The sequence below is a fragment of the Homo sapiens genome, chromosome X (assembly GCF_000001405.40).
Source record: "Homo sapiens chromosome X, GRCh38.p14 Primary Assembly".
In the NCBI taxonomy this organism is placed as follows: domain Eukaryota; kingdom Metazoa; phylum Chordata; class Mammalia; order Primates; family Hominidae; genus Homo; species Homo sapiens.
In genome coordinates this window covers 135023031-135035010 of record NC_000023.11, presented here as the reverse complement: position 1 = coordinate 135035010, position 11980 = coordinate 135023031, and the positions used below count along the sequence as shown (strand labels likewise).

Genomic DNA, 11980 nt, shown 5'->3' with positions numbered 1-11980 from the left:
CAGCAGAATCTGTGTTTAAAACTAAACAGTGAATATGCTTAACACAATCTTTCTTCATACCCATCCAGGAAGGCTGTCAGCACCTTGAATTGGCCTTCATGATTAGCCCGGTTTCAGTGTTTTAAGAGCCCTGTAAATCATAAAAACTTTATTTTATTAAGCAATTTGAATTTTATCTCTGATTTCAAAAAGATTTTGACCTATTATATGACAAACTACAAATTCGTGATGTTTCCACTACTTCTGGGAATACAAATATTATCACATACCTAATACAGATAATAATGTACCTCCACCTCCACATACCGCCCTATGAATCACTGCTGAATGGCAAATTTTCACCTATTTAAATGAAGAGAGAGAAGCAATAAAATAAACAACAAAAAAAACACTCTTGTGATTTATTCCTCATTCGTATGCTCTGGAAAAATAACACATATTAGAAATGGGGCAGAGAGGCCAGGCATGGTGGCTCACACTTGTAATCCCAGCACTTTGGGAGGGCAAAGCTGGGGGATCATGAGGCCAGAAGACTGAGACCATCCTGGCCAACATGGTGAAACCCTGTCTCTACTAAAAACACAAAAATTAGCCAGGTGTGGTGGCACGTGCCTGTAGTCTCAGCTACTCGGGAGGCTGAGGCAGAAGAATTGCTTGAACCCAGGAGGCAGAGGTTGCAGTGAGCCAAGATCATGCCACGGCACTCCAGCCTGGGCAACAGAGTAAGACTCCATCCCAAAAAAAAAAAAAAAAAAAAAAGAAGGCAGAGAGTTGTTGACTGAGTGCTGCCCTGCAAGCCCACCTTAGGATAATCTATCGGGATATTGAGCTTTTCCCAGAGATAGATGGGGTGGCAGAGGCATGTTAGCACAGTAGATTTCAAAGATTAGCATGCAGAGATATGTTGAAGATAATTTTTTTTTCTGCCCATTAGGGAAGGTGGTAATTGTATTGTGTTTCAGGTCATTCATTAAACAAGTTTGTACCTAAATTAACTACAGTTCTGCATTCCTTTCTCCACTACCTACCCAATTAAAGCAATATAAATGTAAATGCTTTTTCTGAAGTATCTAAGCCACTTAGCTGGTTCCCTGATAATGCGTTAAATAAAACTGTGAGAGGTGTTCACCAACAAATGTGTGAGATGTATGGCTTGTAACCATTTGGGGTATATGCTTTTAGACAGTTTTTTGGAAATGAGGGAAGAAAAAGCACCCTTTCTGACTATTCCTTACCTTATCTTGGCCACATTCAGATTAAGGTTCATTTCCTAAGAGGCACAAAACTGCTTGTTTACAACATTAATCGTCTGGGATTGGTCACTGGTAAGATCTCCATTTGCAGGACACCACAGGACTCTGTGTCAACATCAGTCATAGCATGGCAGGGCATATAGCTTTTGAACAAGATATGGACCCCATTTACAGAACCAGGGAGGGAAAAGTGCCATATTCATTGAGACCATTTCTTTTCAATAATGTCTGACATTTATTGAAAATAAGGAAAAGACTTTCTCCAGGTAGTGTATTAGAGCAGAGCAGAATGCAGGGGTTACTGTGTTGAACAAAAGGCACACATCAGAGAGACAGTTGCAAACTCAGAATACTGCGTTATGGGCAAAACTAACTGGTCCACAAGAGAAAATGAGAGACTCGATTTGGCTGCCAGGAACACCTGGGCCTAGGCAAGAACACAAGAGGTTTCTGGGGGTGGGGAGGAAATAGGTCTCGCTGAAGGTGACAGATCCCTTGGGGGGCGGCCAGCTGTCTGGATCACTGTCCAGGGACTGTGGCCAGCCCAGATACCTCCGAGGTGAGTCCAGATCACTAGGAGCAGCAGTCTGTCGGTGGGATGCGATGGATGGCGATGGCTGTGGCAGCGCAGGTCTGTGGGCAGAATGATGTAGTCGTCTGGCAGTCTGGTGGGGAGGAGAGGGCTTGGCAGCGGCGGCAGTGGGTGGTCTGTCCAGTGTGTAACAGGAGCCCAGCTTGCAGCTGGAGCGCAGGACAGCGTCCAAATGTACATGGGAGGGGCTGGCTGGCTGGAAGGAGAGGGCGGCGGCTCGCTCCAGAGTGAGGCCCAGGGGCGGCAGCAGGAGCCTGGAGCGCTATTCCTGGAACAAAGGCAAGCACTACGCGGGAGGGAACAGGAGCGCAGGGGACATCGCGGCGGCTCGAGGGGGAGGGAGGCGCGGAGGGAGGGCGCCGGTGGCGACCCTGGCGGCGGCCAGTAACACAGCGGACCCTCCCCAGAGCACCCGCCCCCAGGCCCGAGGGTCTCCCGGCCTAGAAGTCCTCGTCCTCCTCCCATCCAAAGACTCGCTTCATCTCGGCCAGAAAGCCCCGGTAATCATTGAGGAGGGGGCTCTCCTTCTTGATGTAGGGGATCACCCACTGCAGGGCGGGCCCTGTGAGGCGGGTGATGAGGAACGTCACCTTCAGGGCGTCGCTGGAGAACGTGTTCTCGTCCACGAACATGTAGGAGCCCGTCTGCACGATGAACTCCGGGAGTCGGTCGGTATCGCCGTCAAACGTCTCGGGAAAGGGAATCGGGTTCCTCCAGCGACGCGTCGCAGGCCGGATCGGCAAGGCCAGGAGGGCCTTTATCAGCTGCACCCGACCGTCCATCGCTGCTCCTCGCTTCGCTGGACGTCAATGGGCTCCACCCGGCTCTGCAGAGGTCAGTACCGAGGCGTCGCCGGAAATGCGTGTCCACGAAGGCCGGCCTAGGCTTGGGTGGGCGGGGCCACGAGCGGGGCTCCAACCCTCTCATGGACTCCGCCCACAAAGCCGGGTGGTCCCTAGTACGCAGGCGTGTCGTGGGGTATACACTGGCGAAGAGGGGCCTAAAGCCCTCAAGGAGGCCGGCTTGTATCGGAGAGGCTGGGCTAAAGTTTCCTGAGGTAGCGGGACGGGGAGCAGGAGAGGAACCAGGGAGACCTGGTGGTGTACGGGGCGCGGGGAGCTCGCTCCGAGGGGATGTTAGGGGCCCTACGTAGTTCTGGTAGTTGAGGAGTCCTTCGGCAGCACTCGTCCCCACCTCTCATCAGCCCTTGGGTATGCATTCAAGGAGCCTTGGCCCTAGACGCCACTCGTATGAGGTTCTGTGAACACATTTTCCTGCTGCTGCTTTCATCTCTCAACCAGATTATTGGCTCCCTATTTTGCAACATTAATAGAGAAGCCCCACATATTAGCAAATACAATCCAGAGCAGCATATTCAAAGAGTAATGCACCACGCTTGAGGGATGGATACTCCATTCTCCATGATGTGATTATTAACACCTAGTATTTGATAGCACAAGATGACTACAGTCAAAATAATTTAATTGTACATTTAAAAATAACTAAAAGTATAATTGGATTGTTTGTAGCACAAAGGATAAACGCTTGAGGGGAATGGATGCCCCATTTACCATTATGTGATCATTATGCATTGTGTGCCTATGTTAAAGCATTTCATGTATCCAATAAATACGTATACCTATTATGTACCCACAAAAAGTATAAATAATTTTTTAAAAAGAATAATATACCACGAGCAGTTAATGTAAGGAGGGTTAAATATTAAGAAATCTCTTAATTTGTTATAAAAGCTGCCCTCAGTTCTCTGCCATGTTGCCCTGTCCACAGGCAGTTCACAACAGTGCCGCTTGTTTCTTCATGGAACAAAGGGAGAATGTGTCTCCTTGAAAGATGGAGTCATGAAGGGGTGGCCAGCCCCTCCACACCTGTGGGAGGGTTTCTTGTCAGGTGGGACGAGAGACTGAGAAAAGAAGAGACAAAGTATAGAGAAAGAAAAGTGGGCCCAGGGGACCAGCGCTCAGCATACGGAGGACCCGCGCTGGCACTGGTCTCTGAGTTCCCTCAGTATTTATTGATCATTATCTCTACCATCTCGGAGAGGGGCACGTGGCAGGACAATAGGGTAATAGTGGGGAGAGGGTCAGCAGGAAAACATGCGAACAAAGGTCTCTGTGCCATAATTAAGTTTAAGGAAAGGTGCTGTGCCTTGATGTGCACGTATGCAAACATCTTGGTGCATTAAAGAGCAGTATTGCCGCCAGCATGTCTCACTTCCAGCCCTAAGGTGGTTTTCTCCTATCTCAGTAAATGGAACATATGATCGGGTTTTACACCGAGACATTCCATTGCCCAGGGACGATCAGGAGACAGATGCCTTCCTCTTATCTCAACTGCAAAGAGGCCTTCCTCTTTTACTAATCCTCCTCAGCACAGGCCCTTTACAGGTGTCGGGCTAGGGGACGGTCAAGTCTTTCCGTTCCCAGGAGGCCATATCTCAGGCTATCATATGGGGAGAAACCTTGGACAATACCTGGCTTTCCTAGGCAGAGGTCCCTGCAGCCTTCGGCAGCCTATTGTGTCCCTGGGTACTTGAGATTAGAGAATGGTGATGACTTTTAACAAGCATACTGCCTTCAAGCACTTTTTTAACAAAGTGCATCCTGCATAGCCCTAAATCCATTAAACCTTGAGTCAACACAGCACATGTCTCTGCAAGCACAGGGTTGGGGCTAGGGTTACAGATTAACAGCATCTCAAGGCAGAAGAATTTCTCTTAGTACAGAACAAAATGGAGTCTCTTATGTCTACTTCTTTCTACATAGACACAGTAACAGTCTGATCTCTCTTTCTTTTCCCCACAAGTCATGTATAAACTAACGTAATCATGGGAGTTACATCTCATCACCTTTGCCACATTCTATTGGTTAGAAGCAAGCCATAGTCCCCACCTGCACTGAAAGATATGACCAGGACATTGGGATGTTGGGAGCCACCTTAGAATCTGTCTGCCACAGCATGGATATACAAATTTGGTGATCCATTCATTTGTTGGAAGATATTTGGCACATTTACAGGTTTTGGAAATTACAAAGGAATCAGCTATAAGCATTTATGTACAGATTTTTGTGTGAGCATAGGTTTTCATTTTTCTAGAGTAAATTCCTAGAGCAAAGATTTGTGTCATATGGTTCCCAATAAAAACTCTCATTAAACTTTGAAGGGAGCTCCTAAATCTGAGGAAGAGCATCTACAAAAAACCTACAGCTATCGTACTCAAAGGTGAAAGCCTGAATGCTTTTCACTCTTAGATCAAGAACAAGACATGTAGAGGGGAACAACACACACTGAGGCCTATCAGAGGGTGGAGGGTGGGAGGAGGCATAGGATCAGGAAAAATAACTAATGGCTAATAAGCTTAATACCTGGGTGATGAAATAATCTGTACAACAAACTCCCATGACACAAATTTACCTATGTAACAACCTGCACTTGTACCCCTGAACTTGAAAGTTAAAAAAGACCAACAAAACAAGTACATATGCCCACTCTCATCACTTTAGTGCAATATTGTACTGGAGATTCTAGACAGTGCAATGAGGGCAAAGAAAATAAGGAAAGGAAAAAGTAATAAAAGGCATCTAGATTGGACAGGGCAAAGGCAAACTTCTGTTATTCATACACAACAGGATCATGTATATAGAAAACAGATTTTCTAAGATCAACAAAAAATACTAGAACTAAGAAGCGAGTTTCCCAAGGTTGCAGGACATAGGCGAATATACAAAAATCAATTGTAATCCTAGTAACGAACGAGAGAAATTTGAGCTAGAATTTTAAACACCATAAAAACGTAAAAAATGTTAGGGTTAAATATGACAAAGGAGATGAGACTTGTACCCTGAAGACTACAGAACATTCCTGACATATATTACAAAATATCTGAATATTGGAGAGATATAGTCATGAACTGGAAGATTTGATATTGTTAGTATATCAATTCTCCCAAAATTGATGTATAGATTCAAAGTCCCAGCAAGTGTTTTAACATATAAAAAACAACTAATTGCTTCTAAAATTCGTAGGGAAATGCAAAAAAAAAATGCATTAGCAAAAACAGCTTTGAAATTGAAAAAATAAGTTGGAGGACTAATAATATTTGATTTCAAGATTTATAATAAAGCTACTGCAATTAAGACAATGTGATATTGTTATCAAAATAGACAAATACAGTCATCCCTTAGAATTTACAAGGGATTGGTTCCAGGACCCCTGCAAATACCAAAATCTGAGGACACTCAACTCCCTTATATAAAATGGTATAATATTTGCATATAACCTATGTATATCCTCCCATATACTTTAAATCATATCTAGATTACTTATAATACCTAATACAATATAAATGCTATGTAAATAGTTGTTACCTCATATTTTTAGTTGTACTCTTTTTCTAATTTTTACTTTTATTTCAATAGTTTCTGGGGTACAGGTGGTTTTTTGTTACATGGATAAGTTCTTTAGTGGTGATTTCTGAGATTTTAGGGCACCTGTCACCCAAACAGTGTACACTGTACCCAATACGTAGTCTTTTATCACTCACTCCCCTCCCATCCTTCCCCCCGGGTCACCAAAGTCCATTATATCAATCTTATGCCTTTGCATCCTCATAGTTTAACTCGACTTGTAAGTGATAACATACAACATTCGGTTTTCCATTCCTGAGTTAACTTCACCTAGAATAATGGCCTCCAGCTCTATCCAAGTCGCTGAAAAAGACATTATTTCATTCCTTTTTATGGCTGAGTAGTAGTACATGTTGTATATATACCACATGTTCTTTATCCACTCGTTGGTTGATGGGCACTTAGGTTGGTTCCATATCTTTGCAGTTGCGAATTGTGCTGCTATAAACATGCATGTGCATGTGTCTTTTTCACAGAGTGACTTATTTTCTTTTCCTTATTTCCCAGTAGTGGGATTGCTGGATTGAATGGCAGTTCTACTTTTAGTTCTTTAAGGAATCTCCATACTGTTTTCCACACTGGTTGTACTAATTTACATTCCCACAAGCAGTGTAAAAATGTTCCCTTTTCCATACATCCATGCCAACATCCATTGTTTTTGGACTTTTAAATTATGGCCATTCTTGCAGGAGTAAGGTGGTATCTCACTGTGGTTTTATTTTTTTTTTTTATTTTTTTTTTTTTTATTATACTCTAAGTTTTAGGGTACATGTGCACATTGTGCAGGTTAGTTACATATGTATACATGTGCCATGCTGGTGGGCTGCACCCACTAACGTGTCATCTAGCATTAGGTATATCTCCCAATGCTATCCCTCCCCCCTCCCCCGACCCCACCACAGTCCCCAGAGTGTGATATTCCCCTTCCTGTGTCCATGTGATCTCATTGTTCAATTCCCACCTATGAGTGAGAATATGCGGTGTTTGGTTTTTTGTTCTTGCGATAGTTTACTGAGAATGATGGTTTCCAATTTCATCCATGTCCCTACAAAGGACATGAACTCATCATTTTTTATGGCTGCATAGTATTCCATGGTGTATATGTGCCACATTTGCTTAATCCAGTCTATCATTGTTGGACATTTGGGTTGGTTCCAAGTCTTTGCTATTGTGAATAGTGCCGGTATATACCCAAAGGACTATAAATCATGCTGCTATAAAGACACATGCACACGTATGTTTATTGCGGCACTACTCACTGTGGTTTTAATTTGCAGTTCCCTGATGATTAGTGATGTTGAGCATATTTTCATGTTTACTGGCTGTTTGTGTGTCTTCTTTTGAGAAATGTCTATTCATGTCATTTGCCCACTTTTTGATGAGTTTTTTTTCTTGCTGATTTTTTTTAGTTCCTTGTAGATTCTGAATATTAGTCCTTTGTTGAATGCATAGTTTGTTAATACTAGCTGTCTACTCTACTGATTATTTCTTTTGCTGTGCAGAAGATTTCAGTTTTTAGGTCCCATTTATTTATTTTTATTTTTGTTGCATTTGCTTTTGGGGTCTTGGTCATGAATTATTTGCCTAAGCCAATGTCTAGAAGAGTTTTTATGATGGTATCTTCTAGAATTTTTATGGTTTCAGGTCTAAGGTTTAAGTCTTTGCTCCATCTTGAGTTGAATTTTTTTATAAGGTGAAAGATGGGGATCCAGTTTCATTCTTCTACATGTGTCTTGACAGTTTTCCCGGTACCATTTATTGCATAGGGTGTCCTTTCCCCAAATTATGTTTTTGTATGCTTTTTTAAAGATATGTTGGTTGTGTTTGACTTTATTTCTGGGTTCTCCATTCTGTTACATACCTATTTTTATACCAGTACCATGCTGTTTTGGTAACTACAGCCTTGTAGTATAACTTGAAGTCAGCAAATGCGATGCCTCCAGATTTGTTCTTTTTGCTTAGTATGACTTTTGCTATGTGGGCTCTTTTTTTTTGGTTCCATATGAATTTTAAGATTGTTTTTTATACTTCTGTGAAGAATGATGAGGGTATTTTGATGGTAATTGCATAGAATTTGTAGATTGCTTTGGGCAGTATGGTCATTTTCACAATATTGATTCTTCCCATCCATGAGCATGGAGTGTGTTTCCACTTCTGTCATCAATGATTTCTCTCAGCAGTGTTTTGTAGTTTTCCTTATAAAGATATTTCACCTCCTTCATTAAGTATATTCCTAAGTAGTTTTATTGAAGCTGTTATGAAAGGGATTGAGTTCTTAATTTGATTCTCGGCTTGGTCATTATTGATGTATAGCAGCAAAAATCCTCAATAAAATACTAGCTAACTGAATCCAACAGCATATCAAAAAGATAATATGTTATAATCAAGTGGGTTTCATACCAGGGATACAGGGATGGTTTAATATATGCAAATCAATAAATGTACTATATTTATTGGAAGTCAAACTGTTGTTGTTCACCAATGATATGATTCTATACCTAGAAAATCCTAAAGACTCATCCAGAAAGCTCCTAGATCTGATAAACGAATTCAGTATAGTCACAGCATACAAAATCAATGTATACAAATTATTTTTTATTATTTTTTTCCAGAATATTTTGATCTGCCATTGGTTGAATCTGCAGATGCAGAACCCATGGATATAGAGGACCAACTGTAGATGAATAGAACTGGATATGCAATTCAGAAATAGACCCACACATATATGGACAGCTGATTTTTGTAAAGTTGTAAAGGCAATTCAGTGGAAAAGGGATAATATTTTCAAAATGATGCAGGAAAAGTTGAATGTCTATTTACAAAAAAAATTAATTTGATCCATATCTCACACCATATGCAAAAATTAACTAAAAAACGTTAATAGACCTAATGGTAAAACCTAAAATTATAAAGCTCCTAGAAGAAAACAGGAAAAAACAACTTTTGAAACCTTGGATTAGACAAAGATTTCTTAGCTATCACAACAAAAGCACAATTCTCATAAGCAAAATTTGGTAAATTGGACTTCATATTAAAAAGCATGTGCTCTTCAAAAGACAATGTTAAGAGAATGAACAGAGAAGGCACAGGCTGGGAGAAAATATTTGTAAGTGGCATATCTAATGAAGATTTGAATACAGGATACATATAGAACTCTCAAAACAACAATGTATAGGTCAACAACCTGATTTAAAATGGAAAAAAATATCTGAAGAGACATTTCACTAAAAAAGATAAATGTATGACAAATAAGCAACAAAAAAGGTGTTCAGGGACATATGAATTTTATCTGTTTCTTAATAGTAGGAAGTAAAATCAGTCAAATGCATTTTCTGTGTCTATGTGTGTTCTGTGTTCCCTAATTTATGAAGTTAGGGAATTGCAAATTAAAACCACAATCACACCTATTAGCATGGCTGAAATAAAAAAGAAAACCAACAAATAAAGAACCCAGAACAAAACAAAACCTGACAATACTGAGCATAAATGGGTTTGAAAAGCAACTTAATCTCTCATATATTGCTGGTGGGAATACAGAATGTTAGCCACTTGGGAAAGCATTTTTGGCATCTTACAAGTTTCTTTTATCCAGCTTTACACACTATAGTTCCTCCTCCCCTGAGATGACCACTATTCTGAATTCTATAAGCATTTAGCTTTGCCTATTTTTAACACTGATATAAAGTGGAATCCTAAAGTATATACAAATTTTGTGCCTCACAACTTCTATTCAATGTAACATCTGTAGCATTCCTCCACATTGCTGTGTGTACTAATACAGAATTCCATTGTATGACTATGCGATAATTTATTTATCCATTTGCCTAATCTAGTAAAATATAAAAAGAATAATATGCCGTGATTAAATGAAATTATCCCAGCAATGCAAGGTTGTTTTATGAATCAAAATCAATTATAATTTACTGTACTAACTAAAAGGAACTGTAGCAGACAAAATGGCAATCCCCCAAAGATGTGTGTGTCCTAATTCCCAGAACCTGAAAATATAAAGCAAGAAGTACTGCGGGATCTGGCCAGCAGCCGGCAATGCAACGGGGCTCTCTCTTTGTTCCCAGGCAGATCAGCAGGTCAAGAAATAATAGACACACACAAGATAGTGAAAGCTGGGTCCGGGGGGTCACCGCCTTCTGGTCCCGCGGTGCCAACAATGCACTGGATATATCAGCATTTATTATTAAGTTTAGTGAGGGCGGGGGTAGGTTAGTGAGGGATTTAAGGTCATTTGATTATGAGGTGAGATGGTCACATGGGGATTAAGTAATTCTTTAACATAACATCTGTATGCAGAAGTACAGTATACAGAGAAAAGAATTTACAATATAGTGTGTGCATCAGTAATTTCTAACAGAGCCTTAAAACAGAAACAGTCTTTCCATAACCTATGATTAGCAAGATATTAATCAGCAGTAACAGTTGCAGCAAAAACTGGTTACAAACAATCCATAGAAACAGGACGTGAAGCTAGACAACTGGTTAGACCAGAAATTCTCAGAAGGGAGTATGCCTTAACCCTAAAGAGGCCTAGAAGAGCCGTGGCAAGATGAGGGCATTTATAGCCCTATCTTATCCATATGGACAGGCACCCTTCATGCGTTCATTTATAGGCTCTCCACGAGGGTCGCATTCCATTCCCAGAGCTATGAACATCAGCTTTTCTGGGATAGGAATCTCGGTGATGTGAAACCTCCCTGACTGCACATCCATTCATAGGCTCTCTGCAGGGGGAAGCACATCACGTGCTGTTGGCTCTTTGTGGCATTCCAACCTGGCATTGTCTTTATACAATCCTGCATGCAATTTTGTATTTACAATAATCAGGAGTATTTCATCTTTTATTCCATAGCAATAGTTTCAGGGGGTCTCCCTACAAAGAAGGAATTAAAGCTGCAGACAGAACTAAAGTTGCTAATCAGTTGCACTGAAAATATGAAGATTATCATCAATTATCTAATCATATGAACTCTTAAAAGTGGAAGATGAAGGCAGAGAGGATTAGAAAGAAGCCACATGAGAAAAATTTGACACCCACTATTGCTGACTTTGAAGGGGAAGAAGGTGGCATTGAGCCAGTAAATATGGCGTCCTCTACAAGCTGGGAATGGCCCTCATATTACAGAGCAAGAACACTACCTCAATCCTACAACCACAAGGAACTGAATTCTGCCAATAGTCTAACTGAACGGGAAAGAAATTATTTCATAGAATCTCCAGAAAGGAACATAGCCTCCCAATACTATGACTTTGGTCTAGTATGACCCATATGGAACTTCTGACCTACAAAACAATAAGATGATAAATTTGTGTTGTTTTAAACCACTAAATTTGTGGTAATTCGTTAAGACAGCAACAAAAAGCTAACGCAAAGAGAAAATCCATAGGACCATATTCAATAGACACAGAAAATGCATTTGACTGATTTCATTTCCTATTAAGAAATAGATAAAATTCATGGAGGGTATCTTGTAATTTGGAGGAAAGATATATCACATTTAGTTGTACTGGTAGGACACTTTTACTGAATGGCCTGTATGGATGTTTCGGAAATATGGGTGCTACTCTGCTCATCAGGACTTACATAACCTAGTCAACCCAACTGCGTTGAAAGTATCTATGGCAAACAAGTGATCAAGGTACACATCATCAATAACAAAATATACTACATCATGAACACCTTGATATGATAAACTAAC

The 11980-nt window shown here is 40.9% G+C and overlaps 1 protein-coding gene across 1 annotated transcript, besides 2 other annotated features; it reads right to left on the bottom strand.

Moving 5' to 3' along the window:
• Positions 1-1464: 1464 nt before the first annotated feature.
• RTL8C (retrotransposon Gag like 8C) lies at positions 1465-2656 on the bottom strand. The gene has a single exon (NM_001078171.2). It carries the CDS (start codon positions 2625-2627, stop codon positions 2286-2288), a length of 342 nt encoding a protein of 113 aa, NP_001071639.1. The 5' UTR covers positions 2628-2656; the 3' UTR covers positions 1465-2285.
• Positions 2448-2617: an enhancer, noted in NCBI's record as "active region_29978". NCBI's record gives its function as "activates an Ori minimal core promoter by ATAC-STARR-seq in GM12878 lymphoblastoid cells {active_cell/tissue: GM12878}" and the evidence as "EXISTENCE:reporter gene assay evidence [ECO:0000049][PMID:35858748]".
• Positions 4174-4675: an enhancer, noted in NCBI's record as "NANOG hESC enhancer chrX:134164366-134164867 (GRCh37/hg19 assembly coordinates)". NCBI's record gives its function as "activates a minimal SCP1, AML or CMV promoter by ChIP-STARR-seq in naive H9 embryonic stem cells {active_cell/tissue: H9 hESC(naive)}" and the evidence as "EXISTENCE:reporter gene assay evidence [ECO:0000049][PMID:30033119]".

What these genes read in the sequence shown, in the direction of transcription:
- RTL8C (NM_001078171.2), bottom strand. Translation starts at nt 2,627, where the DNA reads ATGGACGGTCGGGTGCAGCTGATAAAGGCCCTCCTGGCCTTGCCGATC.